The following is a 20,576-nucleotide window of genomic DNA, read 5'->3' on the forward strand; positions in this document are numbered from 1 at the left end:
GTTAACAGGTAGAAAGGGGATGCAGACTCAGGACTATCTAGCTCCAACTTGCTATATTATTAGTCCCTCTGTGCCTCAGTTTCCCTTCTATAGCTTCCCCAGATCTCAAGGAGCCCACTGGGGCTGTAGAGATCGAAGGAAGTTTGGTATATGGTGCTAAATGCTTTCTTCATCTCCCCGGCCGCTTGGTCTCCGGTAAGCACGATTTGGCTGCCTGCTCTGGACATGAGGCATCCCACGGCCCCTGTGACATCATCCTTCTTGGCCCCTTTGCCTCCGGCAGGAAGCAAACCCCCACAGACAAAGAATTGAAAATCTGGTCACTTATTCCAGCCAATATTTCTCAGTCTTAGGTAGGCATATTCATTTTTATAATGGCAAGTTTTACCCTCGGTAATGATCAGATCCAATCCTTCTCTTGTTTGAGTTGCTGAAACCACTCACCATGGCCCAGGAGAATAAAACCCACAGGCTCCACTTGGCTTGGCACTCAAAGCCCTCTGCAACCTGCCCACATAACCATCATTTTGCATGGATGCAGTCTTGCATTGATGCTTCAGCCACTCCACATGGTACCTCTTCCACCTGCCTAGTATGTCTTTCTTCCCCTTCTCTGACTATTCAAATCTTAAATATCGTTCAAGGTCCAACTTGAATGAATCTGCCTCCTCCAGGGAGCATTCTCTGCTCTCCCAGGCTGAATGAATGGGCTTCTCCTCTGGAATCCCCACAGTTCCATTTCCACCATTCGGCTTCTAACCATCACTGGCATTTTTTCATATCTGCTTTTGCAACTGGCCTGTGAGCTCCTGTGGGGCAGTGGCAATGTTATTTACATCTGTTTCTACAGCACCAACTCATTATTTGGCTCAAAGTAATAATGACAGGCCAGGTGCAGTGGCTCACACCTGTAATCCCAGCACTTTGGGAGGCCAAGGCAGGCAGATCGATCACTTGAGGTCAGAAGTTTGTGACCAGCCTGGCCAACATGGTGAAATCCTGTCTCTACTAAAAATACAAAAAAAATTAGCCAGGTGTGGTGGCACACACCTGTAATCCCAGCTACTTGGGAGACTGAAGCAGGAGAATTGCTTGAATCCGGGCAGTGGAGGTTGCAGTGAGCTGAGATCGTGCTTTTGCACCCCAGAGTGGGCGACAGAGAGAGACTCCATCTCAAAAAAAAAAAAAAAAAAAAAAAAAAAAAAGGAATAGTGGCAATGACAACATCAATGGTAATAGGGTAATAGTTGCTATATTTATGGGGGGGTTAAAACATGACTTTGTTTAATCCTCAGACAATCTTATGAGGCAGGTACTATATTTACTCCTATTTAACAGGTAAGGAAAGGGGATTCAGAGAGGCCACGTGGAAATGGTGAAGCTGGGATTTGAGCCCAGGCTGCCTTGTTCCTCAGGTAACCACTCTGACCCACTGGCTTCTAAAGGTGCTCAGTAAATGTTTGTTGAATTAAAAAGCAAATGCATTCATGAACAAATGAGTAATAAGGAAAAAAAAGTCAGGCAACAGAGAAAAATCATCCACTCCATTGATGAAAGCAAGGCATTTCCTAGAACTCAAGCAATGATAGTGAGCATTCTCTTCCATCATCCAATCATTGCCCTCCCCTTGTTGGGGAAATCTCATGAACACATTTCACCAATGGGTGTCATTCCAAACCTACTCCTGAGGGATATGGAGGAGAATGTCTCATCCTTTTTAGTCCAGGACAATGCTTTGACTAACGTTCAGGAGGACAGGACCTTAGAGCTGTGCCCAGGCCAACAGGGATGAGTGGCTTGGGCTCATTATACTCCCAACATGATCTTCCTGGGACAAATATTGGTTCTAAGGCTGCTGCCCAGTATCAGAGAGCTGTACAGGCTGGAAATGTTTGGGGAGCAGAAGAAAGCCAGGTGCAATGTAGGAAACAGGAGAAAGGGCAGATGGTGAGCAGGCCACGTCCGTTTGGAGGCCAGGCTGCAGCTGCGGGAACCACAGGTGCTGGCAGAACTGAGGTTGCTGGTGCAGAAGGGAGGGGCCGCATCACCTGGGGCTTGGCCAGGGCCAACATGGAGACAGGGACTTGGCCCACCTGCCTGCTGGTGGTCACCTGTCTTGCTGGTGCTCAGAAGGAGGGGGCAAGCCCTGGAGCTTTCCCTGTCCTCCCTCCTCTGCACTTGCCCCACACAGGGAGAATTCTGGAGATAACACAGATACTCAGTGGCAGCTGAGTCATTCATGCACATATACATGTGCACAGCACATATAAACACACTTTCACACGTACATACGCACACATGCATACATGTACGTACACATGTGCAAACATAAACATGCATACACATGCTTCTGGTCTCACACATAAACACACACTTATACACGTGTGAACACACTTTCTCACACACGCACACAAACACATACGCTCATATGTACACACATTCACACATATACTCAATCACACATGCACACACACCCTTTTGGTCTCACACATAAACGCATACACACACATACCAGGCTCAGAAAATTTGTCAGGCTTCCAAGCACTTCAAAGCACAAGTCAATTGATGGATCTTGTTTCTGGAAAGAAATCAGCATGTCCTAAAGGCCTGGGAGCTGGATTCTTCCTTCTGAGATCTGAGAGCCGACATTAGCTCCTCAATCTCCATGTACATCCTTAATGGGTTTCTGGCCTTGTACACAATAGGAAAGTGGGCTTTGGGGCCAGGTGTCAGTCAGGGGCCAGAGAACAGAATTGCATGGCCAAAAGGAACACAAAGAAAGGAAAAAGGCCTTTCATGTGGAGGATTTAATTTCCAGTTAGGAAGATTGAAATAATTTTATACAGTGGTTTTGAAAACACATGAAAGAGTTTTCCTTTCTGAATTTGAGAGGCAGCTCTGGAGACTGTCACTGCCTCCTGGGTGCCCGAGAATCTGGTTCTCTTTCCAGATTTGCTGTGAACCAGTGCAGTCTCTGCCAGAACCTCAAGGGACAGCATGCCAGACGTTCCATTCAATTCAACTGAGTCCATCCATCCATTCATCCATCCAACTAACCATTCTTTGGACACCCAGCCTTCAACATTCATTCATTTCAACACCCAGCCTTCATCATTCATTCATGTAGTTCAGATCTCCTATCACCTGCTACGCACCTGCCTTTGGCCTGGCCTTGGGGTCCAGGTCCCTTGAAAGGACTTCCAGCTGTCCTCTTGATTATGGAAAGGATGGGATGCTGGTTACAGGGACTTATTCTTTTCTAATTCAAATGCAAAACAGAGGATAAACCCTCTCAGGTGTGAAACTCCCTTGGCTCCAGAACAATGCAGCAGTTAGTCCTGGGCCTGGCCCATGCCAGGTTCCCAGGAAAGCCCTGCTGATTCAGGATAACTGCTACCACCTGTTTCAATGCCCTTGAAGCTCTCCACACTTTTTATCTTTGAAAGTATTTCATTTAGGTTTCATAATGGAAGCAAGGCTGAATGATTATGTAACGGTGCTTTCTGCGACAAGTTTATGAGTATATTTTGAAGGCAGCAAACGTATGCCTATTAAGCATGGGGAGAATTATCAGTGAATGTTTTTAAATGACCAATAAAAATGAAATTATCATTGCTCATTGTTTTTTATGGATCATAATGTGTTTTTCTCTTATGGAAATATCCAAAAACTCCCCTCTTAGTCACCGGCCGCTAATTACATAGTTAGCACACAGTAATCCATGTAAGTGGGTTCTCGCCTGTCGTAATTCGTCTTCATAAATGTAATTGGCCCAATGAAACAGACCACAAAATAATTCTGCAGAGAGGAGATGGATTCAATAAAAACTGATTTTACTTTTCTTTTTCCAAAACTACAAACTTGGAATAGGAGTTTTTAAGAACATATAACTGTTTTTCCCCAGATTGCCACTCCTACCTCAATTTGTTTGTTATTCAACTATTTATTGATTTATTGAGGACCTGCTCTATTCAAATCATTGGCTCAATACTGGGGTTAAGTCAAAACTTGAAAGAAATTCCCGGCTGCAGGGAACTGGCCATCAAGTGAGGAAGTCTCCAAGCAGCAGGCAGAAACCATGGTGATGCAAGGTGGGTAGTAGTACATGCTCCAGAAGAGATTTGGAGAAAGGGCTAAAGGTGTTCAGAGGCAAAGTGGTTGCTTCCTCCTGGAAAATCAGGAAAGGCTTCATGGAAGAAGTGGTATTTGAGCTGAACTTTGAATGATGAAGGAAGGTGGAGCTAAGGCAACGGAGGTATGTTTGGTTAGATTAACCTGACAGTGATTATAGTGGAGTGCCGGCAGGTGAAAGGTAAGGGGAGATGGAGTGGAAAGGTAGGTGGATGGTTGTTATAGATGGAGAAGCACATTTTATACTTTTCAGCTCAAAGCTGTGCCCCCTCCCCTCTGCATATGCAATAAATAAATATTTATTAATATTAATATTATATTTAATATTTATCAATAGCAATATTATAAATATTATATAATAATATATTATATTAATAAATATTATATGTAATATTTTATATGAATTATACAAAATTAAAAATATGTAAATAAGAATAAAATATGTAAATATTACATAAATATAAATATTTACATAAACTATAAAATTATTTTATATATTTTTATGTAATTTTATATTATTTTATATTTTAAATTATATATATTAAAAATAATATAAAATTACATAAATATATAAAATAATATATCAATGATATGAATAATATGAAAATATATAAATATAAATATTTGCATTAATATATAAATATTATATATGTAGAATATTATATAGAGAGACTAATCCAATATAATATATATTGGATATAACTGGACACAATCAATACAGCATACCTACTGCTTGCCAGGTCCTGTGCCGGGGCTGGCTGGGTAGGAGACTTAGATGATTTAACACAAAGCCTACCCTCAGAAACTCAGAAGGGAGGTGGAAATGATGATGCGGTCAATACTGGCTTGAGCCTGTATCTCCATTTATTATTGTGAGATGGGGCGGTGGGGAGTGTCACTGTTCAAATGGGAGTGTCACTCTTCAAATATGGCAGTTTGTCCCAGACGAGCTCACTCTCCATATTCCATATTACAGCAGGCATTGTTAGTGTGAGGCTCTAGTTGCTTCCAAAGCAAAATATTTTTGGACCATTTACTGCCAAACGCTTCTTTTCTCTAGCTCAGTCGCCAACATTTTCCTCCTTGAAAATTTGAATGAGCCTCGAAAAGACACCGAGAAGAAATTCAGGGAGATAGGAGGAAAATGCAAATAAGAATTACAAGACAGAATTCAAGAGGATTGGGACTTTCAGGGAGGACATGATTGACAGTGTCACAGGCTACAGATGATCAAAGTAAGAGAAGGTCCCGTAAGCGTCCATTGGATTTAGCCTGGAAGAAATCACTGATGACCGGGTGAGAGCCAGGGAGCAGAGGTCAGAAGGCAGTAGGGTGAGGAGGGAGCTGGCCTGGGGTGGCTGGAGTTGCATAGGTGGTGCACGGATCTAGTCAACCTCCTCCACCCACACCTCCGCTTAGCTTGTGTGGTCTCTCCTCTCATCAGCAGACCTAATAGCACTCAGGAAATTATGTCTTTCTGCATGATTACAGAGTACATTATGTGCTACTGTGACACTTTTGCATTGCAGGATGTTTGTAGTGCCTTGGGATGACTCTACTGTGGTGGCTCTTGCCCTTTGTTTCGTGGGATTAAAACCCCGACTCAGTCACCTAGATGTAGCACGGATTCTCCCCCTTCTGTCTCCACCTCCAGCTCCTGCTTATCATCTCACTTATCCGTTTCCTCCTCTTTACCCCTATGGTTTCTTAGTGATAGACTGAATTTTTGTTTCCAACTCTTCACTACTTTGTAATAGAATTTTACTTGTACGCCGTTTCCATGGCCTCATGATCTATACAGTATACTTCCCCACTTCTTTACTTTTGAGTTGAAAATACGACTTGTTTGGGCTGACAATATGACTTGTTTGGTTCAATGAGATGTTAGTGAATGTGATGTAATCAGAGGCTTGAAATGTTCTGGTGCAATTTTTTTTTTCTTTCTGCACTGCAATGACCCACCGTGAAAAGTTCAGGTGCCAGGTAGATGCTGCCACCTCAGACTGCACCCCAAAAGAAACATGTAAAATGGACCTGAAGCTATCCTGTATCCTAGAGCCATGTCCAGTCAACCTGTAGCCTGAAGCAAAGCCACCCAGCTGAGACCAGTCTAGGTCAGCCATACTGTAATCAGCCTGCAAACCCATGATTATGAAAATAAATACTATTTTAAGCCACTGAATTTGGGGTTGGTTTGTTATGCAGCATTAGCATGATATCAGTACTGATCCTGACTTTGACCTAAGCACTCATGCTTGCTAGTTCAAATTCTCTACTCCATTCCTTTAAGCCCATCTTCCAGAGAGACTGTTAGACAACCTCAATCATCATTATAAACAAGGAAGACTGCCCTTTCAGGATTTTTCAATATTTCTTCCAGAATGTTTATTCCTTCATTTATTCATTTTTTTCAAACATTCAACAAATGACTACTTGTACTAAGCCTTAGGAAGGGCACTCGGGGGGAAAAATGGGTAACTATAATTTGAAACAAGACACATTCCATCTCTTTAAGTGAGTGCAAAAGAAGTGTGTGTAAATAATTACATCCCAAGGTGCCTGCTGTATTTCTTATCCTAAAGCAAACCAAGTGGAGGTAAAATCATCATTCTTGAAAATGCCCTTGTTTATACTTAAAGGCAATTATCTGTGGGTATTTAAAAATAAAATCTATAGTAATTACAAGCTTGCCTTTTTCTATTTCACATATCACATGAGCCAGTGAAGAAGCGGGATGCAAGACAGTCTTACCATATGTCAATATCAAATACGTTTTCTTTTAAAGCGTGCTTTGCGCATCCTTCTGGAAGATGGGGAATGAAATGCTGTAAACAGGCAGAAATGATTCACGGGATCATGATTGCTTTTCATCAGCTGCATCAATTATACACAGCAATGGGACTTGGTGAAATACATTTACAACTTGTTAAAAACACTCCTTGAAACAATTCAGACCTTGTTAAGTCCTGGTGTGCTCAGCCAAGCATAGCTGGGCTGGCCGTCAGCAGAACTTAGTCTGAGCTGAACAAGTCCAAGCTGTCTTTGGCCAAGAGGAATGGCATGCCAGGGTGGAGATTCCTTCTGACCTCTCCTTCCATTGTCATGAGATGTAGCTATAGGATGGGTTCAGATTTTTGTTAGGCTATCAATAAAGCATCCAAGCAGCCATCAAGCCAATTAACCATACTACGCCAGGGAACAGGGGTACAGGGACAGAAGTAAAACAATAAATACACGGTCCTGCCCTCAGGTTGCTTACGGTCTCATAAAAAATAAAGATAAACATGCCATCCATCTCTAGCTCCTCCATCTACTATGTAATCTTAAAAAAATAAGTACTTAACTTCCCTGTTTCTCAAGTCCGTCATCCACAAAATTACATTAATAATAATAGCTACAGCCTAGGACTGTTGTGAGAATTAAATACATTAATACATGTCACGGCAGACACAGCTAGTTGCCTACCCAATATCCATGGATTCCACTGGGCTGGCAATGCACCCTGGGAAAGTGCTCACCTTCCTAGACTCCCCTGCTGCGATGGATGGCCACATGTCTCAGTTCTGGTCAATGAGAAGTAGATGGAACTGGCCAGGCACCGTGGCTCACTCCTGTAATTCCAGCATTTTGGGAGACTGAGGCGGGCAGATCACTTGAGGTCAGGAGTTCGAGACCAGCCTGGCCAACGTGGTGAAACCCTGTCTCTACTAAAAATCCAAAAAAAAAAAAAAGAAAAAAAAATTAGCTGGGATCCCAGCTACTTGGGAGGCTGAGGCAGGAGAATTGCTTGAACCCGGAAGGCAGAGGTTGCAGTGAGCCGAGGTCACGCCATTGCATTCCAGACTGGGTGACAAGAGCGAAACTCCATCTCAAAAAAAAAAAAAAAAAAAAGAAGTAGATGGAACTCTTGGTTAAGGCATCCCTTCCTGAATAAAAGAACAAAGCTTCACTTCTTTAAAATACTTGCCAGAAAAAATATAATGGAAGAGCCAGCCAACTTCAGACCATGAGGGAGAAACCACATGCTTGGGATGATGGAGCAGGAAGCTGGAACGAACTTGGCTTCCAAATGACATCCTTGCGCACCTGAATAAACTCTGTTCTACTGACTTCCAGACTCCTTGTCAGGGGAGGAAGAGTTTTTGCTTCAGCCACTTTCTTGCTTAAGCCACTCTTCGGCAGGGGGAGTGAGGGTGGTTCTGTACTATGCAGTTGAACCTATTCCCAACTGACAATAAGTAAGGTGCCTGGTATTCAGAAAGAATTTAATAAATGCCATTGGTAATGCTGATTTTGTGGCCATGCAGCGTGAATGGGGAAAACAAGGAACTGTCGGACCACACAGGAGAGGTTATTTATTTATTTTATTTATTTATTTTTGAGACGGAGTCTTGGTCTGTTGCCCAGGCTGGAGTGCAGTGGCGTGATCTTGGCTCACCACAAACTCTGCCTCCCGGGTTCAAGCGATTCTCCTGCCTCAGCCTCCCGAGTAGCTGGGACTACAGGTGCACACCACCATGTCTGGCTAATTTTTGTGTTTTTAGCAGAGACAGGTTTCACTAAGTTGGTCAGGCTGGTCTCGAACTCCGGACCTCGCGATCTGCCCACCTCGGCCTCCCAAAGTGTTGGGATTACAGGCATGAGCCACCGTGCCTGGCCGGAGAGGTTCTAATCCATACCAGATGGAAACTTCTTGGAGAAAGAGACATCCAAGCAGAGACCTGGAAGGTCGGGTGGGGATGCTGCCAATTCTAATTGTTGGCATTGTTCCCTCTTTTTTTTTTCCACGGTTCTCTCATTCCATGGAACCTCTACCTGGGATGGCTCAACAGGCTCTGAGCAGACCTTCTACCTGCAGTCTAGCCCAGACCATCTTCCATTCTTGTTTCCAGGGAAATCTTCCTAAAACAGACCTGATCTTATCACACTCCCAGATGAAAACCTCCTGAGAGAGATCCCTCACCTACACAGAGGTTCTCAATGTTTCCATCAAAGGGCCATAAGCGACAAACCTGTACCTCCAAGGAAGCTGTGGCAAGGCCTGAAAATGTATTTGAACTTCTCTAATTCAATTCCAAAAAATGATGTCATGTTTTGTGTTTATTTTGTAATATATTCTTGCTGGTTTTAATATGAAACAGTTTTAACGTCCTAATGGGCTTAACTCATGTTCTAGGAAGACATGCCACATTGAGCCAGTGGTTCTGAATACACCCTTGCATACTGCTCTATACATGAGAGAGACACAGGACTCCCCAAGCAGGCATCAGGATGGCACTTACTTAGCATCTCATGATACTTTCTTGCCTTTCTACATGCCAGCCCTTCCTCACTGAATATCCTCCTTCCCTGGCTGTCTGGCCAACTCCTGGGTATGCTTTCATGTTGCGGCACCCACCATGTCCTAGTTTGAGCAGTGGTTAAAGAGTTTTCAATCTCTGATTAAATTGTGAATCTTCTGAGGGCAAAGGCTAAATCTGATTCATGACTGAAAGTTTTCCATTTACTGTTGTATAATAAATTACCCCCAAACCTACAGACTTTAAAAAACAATTATTTTATTTTGCTCACAATTATGTGGGTCAAGAATTCAGAAAGGAGCCGGGCATGGTGGCTCACGCCTGTAATCCCAGCACTTTGGGAGGCCAAAATGGGTGGATCTCCTGAGGTGAGGAGTTTGAGACCAGCCTGACCAACACGGTGAAACCCTGTCTCTACTAGACACAAAAAATTAGCTGGGTGTGGTGGCGCATGCCTGTAATCCAAGCTACTTGGGAGGCTGAGGCAGGGGAATTGCTTGAACCTGGGAGGCAGAGGTTGCAGTGAGCTGAGATTGTGCCATTGCACTCCAGCCTGGGCAACAAGAGCAAAACTCCATCTCAAAAAAAAAAAAAAAAAAAGAAGAATTCAGAAAGGGCTCAGCTGAGCATTGTCCCATACAGTTTGCAGTCACACATCAGCTGGGGCTGCAGTCATCTGAAGGCCCGACTGGGCTGGAAAGTCCCAGATAGCTCCTGCCTATGGCGGCAGGCAGTGAGTGCTCGCTGTCACCAGGGGGCTCAGGAGATGCTGTTCATTGGAGCATCTCTGAGCAGCCTCTCTAGTCAGATTTCCTAAGGTAGCTGGCAGAGCACGTGTCCAGAGCAAGTGTTAAAAGAGAACCAGGTGAAAGCTGCATGGTCTTCTCAGATCCAGCCTCAGGAGCCATGCAGTGTTATATCCAACCATATCCTATTGATGGCAAATGAATCAAAGGCCAACACAGAATCAAGGAGTGGGGAGGAATAGACTCCACCTCTTGATGGGGTCACATGACAGAAGAGCAGGTGGGATGGAAGCTATTGTTGCAATTCTCTTTGGAAAATACTTTCTGCCATAGTAAGCAGCTCAGCCTTTAGCTCAGTGTATGGAGAATGAATGAGATCAAGTGTTCTGAGGGCTGCCACCATTCCCAGAATAAGATTTTCACATGGAAGGGAAATGAAATCACTCTCTCTCCTTTCCAAAACTTTCTTCTTCTTTAGGACTCTCTCTGCCTCTCCCTACCCTCTCTCATTGAGGCCAAGAGATGAGAAAGAGTAAGAGAGGGATTGATGGAAGAAGGATTAGAAGATTTCCAACTCTTGAGAAGGAGATAAATAAATTCCTCTACCTTGATATTTCCCACTACCACCAAGCTTCAGTTTTTCTTTTCTACCCCAAATTAGGAAATGAAGTCGTTGGTATTTGTTTTGAGCACAGATGAATGGCCAGTAAAAGAAATGCAAATCAAGCTTGGTATTCCATCTTTCCCCACTGGAACCATTTATGTCCCCCATTTCCTCGGGGCCTCAGCCTGCCCATCTCCATTAGAACATAGAGGACTTTTGGCTAGCCCATCCCTTAGAGAGTCTCCTGCAATTAAATTCTATAATTTCATACCAGCCACCCCCAGCCAACCTAGTACAGCCTCTCCTGGGGAGACGCAGCCTGTCGTTCAGAGAACTCTCCTTCTCCAAAATCTAATTTCCCCTCATTTCCCATTATGAGTTCAGTTATGGGAGCCTTCATAGCAGGTGTCATTAAATAGACATTAAGACCCAACAAGGCATGTTTTACAGGACCATTACCACATGCCTGACGTTTGCTGTGACAAATGGAGATCCAGCCAACCACGCCATGTGATAATGGGCCTGGAAACACCCCCTGCGGTGAGGTAATGTGATTAGAAGATGAGGCTGTCATTGTTTAATGCCATCCATCGGAAGGGGACTGACTCCTCTTTGCTGACTCGCCTGGAAGTCAGGCTTCACCCTCTTCTTCCTGGGTCTATCAGGCTCCTGAGCCAGGAGAGAAGGGGACCACTGTCTGGCCAGCATGGCAAGCTTGATCATGTTCCAAGAACTTTGCATTGTGATGTAAGGACCAAGGGCTATGCTGCCTCAGTTTCCCCCAAGATGATAGGTCTCTGGCAGCCAGAGGCAGAACAGTAAAAGTGAGATGAGCTTATTTATCATTCTGATCATCTGAGTAGGAAGTCAGCCCTTTCCAGCCTCAGAGAACTCACCTTATTTCCCTTCACATCATTTTAGATACCCAGACTCCCAGGTGACCAGGCATCGCTAAAATACTCTTTTAGCTGGAGCTCTCTGTGACCTGGAGGCAGCTTGCATGAGGAGCAAGCATGAGTTTGGGTTCTGCCTTCCTTGGGTGTGAATCCCAGCTCAGCCGTTTGATCTCACTAATACTCCTTCCCATCTTCCTCGCAAAGATATTATAAGGATTACATGAGATGACTTACATGAAATATTTAGCACAGGGCCTAATTTAGCAAATCCTAAATTAGGGTTTTCCCAACCCTCCCCATTTCTTTTTATTCTGGGCTTCTAGTCCTTGGCCTTTTAGGAAGGTAAGGGTCTGGGATCTAGCATCTGGTTGATCCTGCGGCTCCCTGAGGACTGGAGATACTCAAAGCCAGGCTTGCTCGGTTTATGACAGTTACAACCTCAGACACTGCACTTTCCAGAATCTCCACTGTCTGCCTCCTCTGAAACATACCTCATTGACAAAACAGTGCTGAGGACAGTCCTCAAACCTGCCCACCTGCTGACTGAGCAAGCCTCTCACTCCTCCCACTGAGATGTCCAGCTCCCAACCAGATGCCCTACTTGACCCCAAAGCCCTTGATTCTTGGATAAACATTCACTCAGTACTGCCCCCCACAAAGTGTCTAGCCTCCCAATGTGTCTAGACCCCCAATGTGTCTAGACCCTCCACTGGCCCCCTACACGTCCTGCCCTCCTGTCTGCTCTGCAGTCTCTTCCCTTGTTTATCTTCATGCTTGCTCTAGTCCTTGCCCCTGGCTGCTTCCCAGCACTCAGATTTCCCCTGTCCTGAAGGAATCCTTCCTCAACCAACTCCCATCCCCCTGCCTTCACTGCCTCCACTTCCTCTCACCCAATTTACTCCTCCATTCCTCAAAATCTCGGTTCCACCCCCACCACTGCACTTAAATTGCTTTCTCTATCTTGCTCCAATATCCAATTAGCAGGGTGAATTGCCTTTTCTGTGCTCTCATCCATCCCCACACTTCAGCAATGGTTGAGAGCACCAATTGCCCCCAGTGCTTTTTGATTCTAGGTCACTAAGGTCTGGTCCTTGCCCCACCTCTCTTCATGGGCTGCCTCTGCTCCCTGCACCAGCTTCTCTTCTTCCATATTTCTATTCTCATAGCTTCTCCCTCCCTTCTCTAAACTCCCGCTTACTACATACACCCATTCTCATGGACTTGGCCATCATTTCAGGCTGCTGACTTCTCTATCCTCTTGCCACCCCCAGCCTCCTTCTCTAACTCCAATCTCATGTTCCCAGCGACCTGCAGAAACAGGTGTCTCACTGGGATCCCAGAGTCTGGATGTCCCACATCCCCTTTCTTCTCAAAAACCTGCTCCTCCTCCTAGACCGCATCTCCATGATGACACCACCAGTGCTTTGCTCTGTTTCCCAAATGCTTCCTCCCTCCCTCTCGCCATGCCCACTTCTAATTCATGGTCCAGAAGCCCTCTCAAACCACCTCCTCCCTGGTTCCTCTCCTTCCCAGCCCATCCCACCTGATGGGGGAAGATGCCAAGATGGCCTCTTGGTCTTCCATTCCTCCGTTCCTCCTCTATATTCTTCTACGGAGGCTTCCATTGTAAACATCTTTCTTCTGTGCTCTGTTCTGAGCCCCTCCATGTGGTGATGGGGCAGAGCAGTCACCACCTTCCAGGGGGATGAACCTCATCCATTGCCTTGCCTTTGGGCATTTTCCAAGTTTGTCCAGCCTCACCTTTCCAAACTCCCCTCAGACCAGAACCCACTGCAGAGACAGAGTATTCCAGTGCCTCCCCTCAGCCTCCCAGAAGGTCCTCCCACCTATCTTGTCAACGCTATCTTGCCTTTCTTGTTCTGGAACTTTCCGGGTCTTGCCATACCACTCACCCAGGTCCTCAAAAGAGCCAAGCCCATGCCAACCTCAGGGCCTTTTCACAGGCTGTCCTCTTTCTTGAGATTCCCCCTGTCCACTCACCACCCATTCTTCATGTGGCTGACTGACATTTCTCTTCCTCAGCCAGGGTCTCCCAACCTAAATTAGGACCTGTCCTTCATTTTCCGCCGTAGCACCAGATTTCTGCCTTCAACTTACATTATATGTGCATGTGTTTTGTTTACTTACTGCCAGCCTCTCCCACTTGACTGTAAGTTCAACAAGGTCAAGGACAAGTTCATGTTCATGCTGGAATCCCAGAGCCTAGTGCAGTGCCTGGAACACAGTACTCATTCCAGAAATGTTTGATGAATGAATGAAGTAGAGAATGGGAGAAACTCTCATTGGTTGACCCCAACTGCACCATTTTAGGCAGAGGATTTTTGTTTCTATGGAATTTACCAGAATTTCACCCCCCAGACGCTGGAGAGAGATGATGCGTATTCAAATCCCACTGCTACTACTCATCATCTAGATGACCTGGAGCAGCTTGACCTTCCTCTTGACCAACCCTCTGTTTATACCTATAAAATAGGAGTAATAATGGCATTTAATTCACAGGTTGTTCACAAGGATCAACTGATAGATGTAAAGTGCTTAGCATAATGCCTGGGACATGGTGAGTGGAGTCATTGCCACCATTTCCCCATACTTTGTGGGAAGAACTGATAGACACAGCAGGTGGGATGGGCTGGGAGGGAGAGGAACTGAGGAGGAGGTGGTTTGGGAAGGCTTCTGGACCATGAATTAGAAGTGGGTGTGGAGAGAGGGAGGGAGGAGGCATTTGGGAAACAGAGCAAAGTAGGTAACGAAAAAGAGGGAAGTTTGGAGCTGCCATTAAGTCTGAGACTCTTGCAGACCACAAGCACCTGTGGTATTATTTGCTGCTCTACTGTGGCCATGAGAGATTTTTGGTTTTGTTCTTTTTTCTCCTTATAATTTTTTTTAAATGGAGAAAATATTCACATAACTTAAAATCAACCATTTTAAAGTGTATAATTCACTGGCGTTTAGTACCTTTCACAATATTATGCAACCAACACCTCTATCTAGTTTTAAAACACTTTCATCATCCCAAAAGGAAACTCCATGTCAATTAAGCAGTGAGAAATTATATTCAAAACTTTTTGTTTTGATATAATTTTAGATTTACAGAAGAGTTGAAAGTTAGCATAGCTTCACCAAGCTTTTCTAATGTTAATAATTTCTTGCATAATCTGGGTCCATTTGTCAAAACCGAGGTATTAACACGGGCACAATGCTATCAACTAAACTACAGACTTTTATTTGGGTTTCCCCTATGTCTCCACGCATGTCCTCTTCTGTTGCACAATTGAATCCAGGAAACCAACATTGCTTTTGGAGAGATTACTTTGGAAACCTAAAGAGTCAAAATCAAGTCCACAATTCCTTGAGCCTGGGATCCATTGCTAGTGCAGGTTTTGCATTATTGCCTTCCTGAGGTTCCATGTGACTAACCCTGACCCAGAGGAGAGGTTTCCATTGTGCTCATGGGCTGTGAATCCATGAATCACCAAGACCCCAGAGCAGATCAGAGCATGGCATGTTCTCTAAGAATCGCACCTTATTCAGAGTCTCTAGCATGGCCAGCGTTTCCCCTGAGCTGCCTCCTGAGGCACCTTCCAGTCTCTGCTTCTCTCTCTTCCTCGGAGTCTCAGTCTGGAGAGGTGAGGTTATGCATCCTGGAAATCTCAGTGGCTTAGAAACACCGAGGTGCCCATCTCATTCATGCACCCTGTCTATGGGGACCCATCTTGCTCCACACCCTCTTCCCTTGAGACTCAAGCTCATGGGCCAGCCACTTTCTGGATCACTGCATGTTTGAAAGACAGCTCTTGAGGTGCTTACACCAGCATCTGCACATTCCAGCCTCAAACTGAAGCCTGTCATGTCTGTTCAAACTCATTGGCTGGAACCAGTCACACAGCTGCACCCAATCAAAAGGAATCAGGGGGTGTGACCCTCTCATGTGCTCAGAAGCAGAGGAAGAGAGTTGGATTGTTGAGCAAACGCCTTGATGACTACAGCTCTCAAAGATGGTATTGAAAGGCAGGCCTGAAAACCTGCCTCCCCAAAGGCAGACTGGGCGACTTCAGGCTCTGAGAAGACCGTGTGCCTACTGGGGTTTCAGGACAAACATGGGTAGGCAGGAGGGAGGAAGCAGGGCCAGCACAAAGATAAGGAAACCATGCCAGCTCCTAGCCTCAGATGCTCAGCCTGAAGCAAGCAACCATAAACAGAACCAAATCATCAGGACCCAAAGCACTGAAAAAAACCATGAGGCATTCTATCATTCCACCAAGATGAGGTGGAGCCATACCATTCACGCAATTTCATCTGCACATCCCTATCACATGCCTCCTGGAATCATCTAAGATTTACTGAGAACATATCATGTTTGTTTTTGTTTTTGTTTTTGACAGAGTCTTGCTCTGTCACCCAGGCTGGAGTGCAGTGGCGTGATCTTGGCTCACTGCAACCTCTGCCTCCCAGGTTCAAGCGATTCTCCTGCCTCAGCCTCCTGAGTAGCTGGAACTACAGGCGTCCACCGCCATCCCCACCTAAGTTTTGTTCTTTTAGTAGAGACAGGGTTTCACCATGTTGGCCAGGATGGTCTCCATCTCCTGACCTCGTGATCCACCCACCTCCGCCTCCCAAAGTGCTGGGATTACAGGCATGAGCCACCGTGCCTGGCCGGTTCTTTTACATTTATAATCTCATTCAGCGATGTTGGCATTAGTATCTGTAGTGGGCTGAATGGTGATCCCTAGAAAGATTTGTCTACATCCTAACCCCTAGAACATGTGAACATGATCTTATTTGGCAAAAAAAAAAAAAAAAAAAGTCTTAGTGGATACAATGAAATTAAGGATCTCAACTTAATATGAGATCCTCCTGGATTAGCCCCTAAACCCAATGACAAGTGTCCTTATAGGAGACAGAAGAAGAGAAGACACCAGCACACAGAGAAGAAGTCCCTGTAAAGACAAAGGTAGAGATGGAGTTATGCAGCTATAAGCCAAGGAACACCTGAAGCGTCAGAAGCTGGAAGAGGCCAGGAATGAACCCTTCTCTAGAGCCTCCAGAAGGAATGTGGCCCTGAAGACACCTTGGTTTTGGACTTCTGGACTTCTGGCTTCCAGAACCATGAGAGTAAATTGTTGTTGCCCTAAGCCACCATGTTTGTGGTAATTTGTATGGGAGCCATAGAAAACCAATACAGAATCCTTCATACATAGTTGAGGAAGCTGAATCTCAGAACAGTTGGGCAATTTCTCACAGTCATACTGATAATAAGTGTCAGAGCCAGGTCTTGAACTTGATTGGAGTGGCTTCAAAGTCTGAGCTCTTAAAGACAGTGCAGGGAAGAGCTGACAGCTACATACTGGAGCTAGGCTGCCTGGGTTCTAATCCCAGCTCTGCCATTCGTGAACTGTGTGTTTTGGGGCCAATTGCTTAATCTTTCAAGCCTTAGTTTCTTCCTCTATAAAATAGGGCTGCCAAAAAGAGTCCTTTCTCTGCAAATTTATTTTGGAATTGAAAGGAGTGGATGAGTGAAGGTATGAAAAGTGCTGAGAACCCGACTTTGAACACAGGAAGCACTAGAAAAGCATTTTGTATAACCATACATCTGCAGAATATTTGCTTGCCATGATTCTCCTAATCATATGCTATGGCCCATTCATTCCCCTTAGTCCAGGGCTTCCCAATTTCAACACTAATGATGTTTTGGAACTGATAATTCTTGGTTTCCGGGGCTGTCCTGGGCTCTGAAGATTTAGCATTCCTGGCCCCTACTCATTTGATGTCAGTAGCAATCCCTCCTCCTGAGTCTTGACAATTGGTCTGTAGACATTGCCAATGTCCTACGGGGGGCAAAATTGCCTTCCGTTGAGAACCACTGCCCTTGGCCTCGCAAAGCCAGGCCTTTAGGATGGAAGTCTCTTTACTGAGCAGCCTGGCTTGCAGCTGGGTCTTGGAAGCAGATCCGGTTTTCATGCCAGAAGTTGTGGAACTGTCAGGCAGATGACTGTTCACAAAGGGCTGAGCTATCCCCAGTCCCCAAGGACTCAGCACACTGAGTGAAGGGACGTCAGTGCTGGGGACACAGCTGGTAAAGTTCTGGCTCTATTATTTGACGTTTCTGAGCCTTCAGAGAAAATTTTTGCAATCTATCCATCTGACAAAGGTCTAACATCCAGAATCTACAAGGAACTTAAACAAACTTACAAGAAAAAACAACCCCATCAAAAAGTGGGCAATGTATACGAACAGACACTTCTCAAAAGAAGATATTCATGCAGCCAACAAACATATGAAAAAAAGCTCATCATCCCTGGTAGTTAGAAAAATGCAAATCAAAACCACAATGAGATACCATCTCACGCCAGTTAGAATGGTGATCATTAAAAAGTCTGGAAACAACAGATGCTAGCAAGGATGTGGAGAAATAGGAACGCTTTTACACTGTTGCTGGGAGTGTAAATTAGTTCAATCATTGTGGAAGACAGTGTGGTGATTCCTCAAGGATCTAGAACCAGGAATACTATTTGACCCAGCAATACCATTGCTGGATATATACCCGAAGGATTACAAATCATTCTACTATAAAGACACATGCACACATACGTTTATTGCAGCACTATTCACAATAGCAAAGACTTGGAACCAGCCAAAAAGCCCATAAATGATCGACTGGTTAAAGAAAATGTGGCACATATACACCACGGAATACTATGCAGCCATAAAAAAGAATGAGTTCACGTCCTTTGCAGGCACATGGGTGAAGCTGGAAACCATCATCCTCAGCAAAGTAACACAGGAACAGAAAACCAAACACCGCATGTTCTCACTCATAAATGGGAGTTGGACAATGAGCACACATGGACACAGAGAGGGGAACATCACACACCGGGGCCTGTCTGGGGGTGGGGGCAAGGGGAGGGAGAGCATTAGGACAAATACCTAATGATGGGTTGATGGGTGCAGCAAACCACCATGGCACATGTATACCTATGTAACAAACCTGCACATTCAGCACATGTATCTCAGAACTTAAAGTAAAATAAAAAATAAAAAGATACCTATTATGTGGGACTAATAATAATATCAAACTCATCTAGTGATTATAGGCATTAAATAAAATATTAGATGCAAAAAGATTAGCAGAGTGCTGGCCAGAGAGTCAGCATGTAGTCAGTGTCAGCTGTTATGATTCTCACCATTATTCCCTCCGCCTGGGGAGCTGACCCATAAAGGGATGCAAAAGCAAAACACCTAATCTTCATGGCTGCAAAGACCCCAAATCAAATCAGGATGTGTTTGACGGCCGCCATCAAGTAAAACATACATGGCCAGGACGAGGGAGGGAGTTGGGGTGTGTGTAATGTAATTTAAAGGAATGTCTTTGCGAGGGCAGAAGGAAATTGTGAGATTTACATTGGCGTGACAAAGGTTCCCGAAAGCTGCAGCTCTCCCACGGCCTGAAATGATGGTATTTGCTGTTGGCAGATGTAGCTGAATTGGAAAAAGAGAGACCGCACTCACAGACTGTCACTTCATTTTATTCATTGGTGGCTGTCGTCCAAAGGGTGAAGTGAGAGCTCCTCCACGGAGGAGGCGGCTTGCAGGACGATAATCCTCCTCCTTTTCCTTCTCTTATACTTCGATTGCCTCAGCTACCAGAGGAAAGGGCTAAGGCCTTGGAGTCAGGAGGTCTCAGTTTGAGTCCTGGTTCTGCCACTTGCCAGCTGTGTGCGTGACCGTGGGCCAGCCACCCACCCCTCTGAGGCTCTCACCTCTTATCTTTCTAGAGGACCAACAAAGACACAGTGCTTATAGCTGGTGGTGAGCCTCCTGGTGCTCTTTCACCTGCCTGGTACTTCTCACCTTGCTCTCCAAAGACTGCCTGCTGCCCTTCTGTTCCCAGAATTGGTTGCCTGTTGTGGTCACCTCAGTAAAGTTCCAAGTTTGCATCTTCATCTTGGAAGGAGGAAGAAACATTAGGCTCATAATGTCCCACCAACAGCTGATATTAAGGGAGTACATCTCACCAAAGAGATCAGGCATTTGGCAGTAATGTTGAAAAGCATGGTTCCCTGAAGGTGCCTATACCACCTTTATGAAAATAATAGGAATAGCAGCAACAGGCCATTACTATTTCTTTCTTTCTTTTTAAATTATACTTTAAGTTCTGGGATACACATGCAGAACGTGCAGGTTTGTTACATAGGTATACATGTGCCATGGTGATTTGCTGCACCCATCAACCCATCATCTACATTAGGTATTTCTCCTAATGCTATCCCTCCCCTAGTCCCCCACCCCACAACAGAACCCAGTGTGTGATATTCCCCTCCCTGTATCCATGTGTTCTCACTGTTCAACTCCCCTTTATGAGTGAGAACATGCGGTGTTTGGTTTTCTGTTCTTGTGTTAGTTTGCTGAGAATGATGGTTTCAGCTTCATCCATGTGCCTGCAAAGGACATGAACTCATTCTCCTTTTATGGCTGTGTAGTATTCCATGGTGTATATGTGCCGCATTTTCTTCATCCAGTCTATCATTGATGGGCATTTTGGTTAGTTCCAAGTCTTTGCTATTGTGAACAGTGCTGCAATAAACATATGTGTGCATGTGTCTTTATAGTAGAGTGATTTATAAGCCTTTGGGTATCTACCCAGTAATGGAATTGCTGGGTCAAATGGTATTTCTGGTTCTTGAGGAATCGCCACACTGTCTTCCACAATGGTTGAACTACTTTACACTCCCACCATTACTATTCCTTAAGCATTTATTCCAGGGCGACGTGAATTATCAAATCCTCAGGATACCGCTCTGAGGGGAGTGTTCTGATTATTCCCATTTTATAGAAGAAAGAGAAGCTTAATGAAGTAAGATAATTTGCCCAAGGCCAAGCA

The 20,576-nt window shown here is 44.8% G+C and overlaps 1 long non-coding RNA gene across 1 annotated transcript in view, besides 1 other annotated feature; it reads right to left on the reverse strand.

The window, feature by feature from the left end:
* Nucleotides 3,191-3,745: an enhancer, noted in NCBI's record as "OCT4-NANOG-H3K4me1 hESC enhancer chr17:6042463-6043017 (GRCh37/hg19 assembly coordinates)". NCBI's record gives its function as "activates a minimal SCP1, AML or CMV promoter by ChIP-STARR-seq in primed H9 embryonic stem cells {active_cell/tissue: H9 hESC(primed)}" and the evidence as "EXISTENCE:reporter gene assay evidence [ECO:0000049][PMID:30033119]".
* LOC105371508 (uncharacterized) overlaps nt 13,981-20,576 on the reverse strand; it is a 40,615-nt gene continuing 34,019 nt past the window's right edge. The window contains exon 4 of the long non-coding RNA XR_934185.3: nt 13,981-14,160. This is a non-coding gene — a long non-coding RNA (uncharacterized LOC105371508). The remainder of the gene's footprint in view (nt 14,161-20,576) is intronic.

This window comes from Homo sapiens, chromosome 17 (genome assembly GCF_000001405.40).
Source record: "Homo sapiens chromosome 17, GRCh38.p14 Primary Assembly".
NCBI classification, from domain to species: domain Eukaryota; kingdom Metazoa; phylum Chordata; class Mammalia; order Primates; family Hominidae; genus Homo; species Homo sapiens.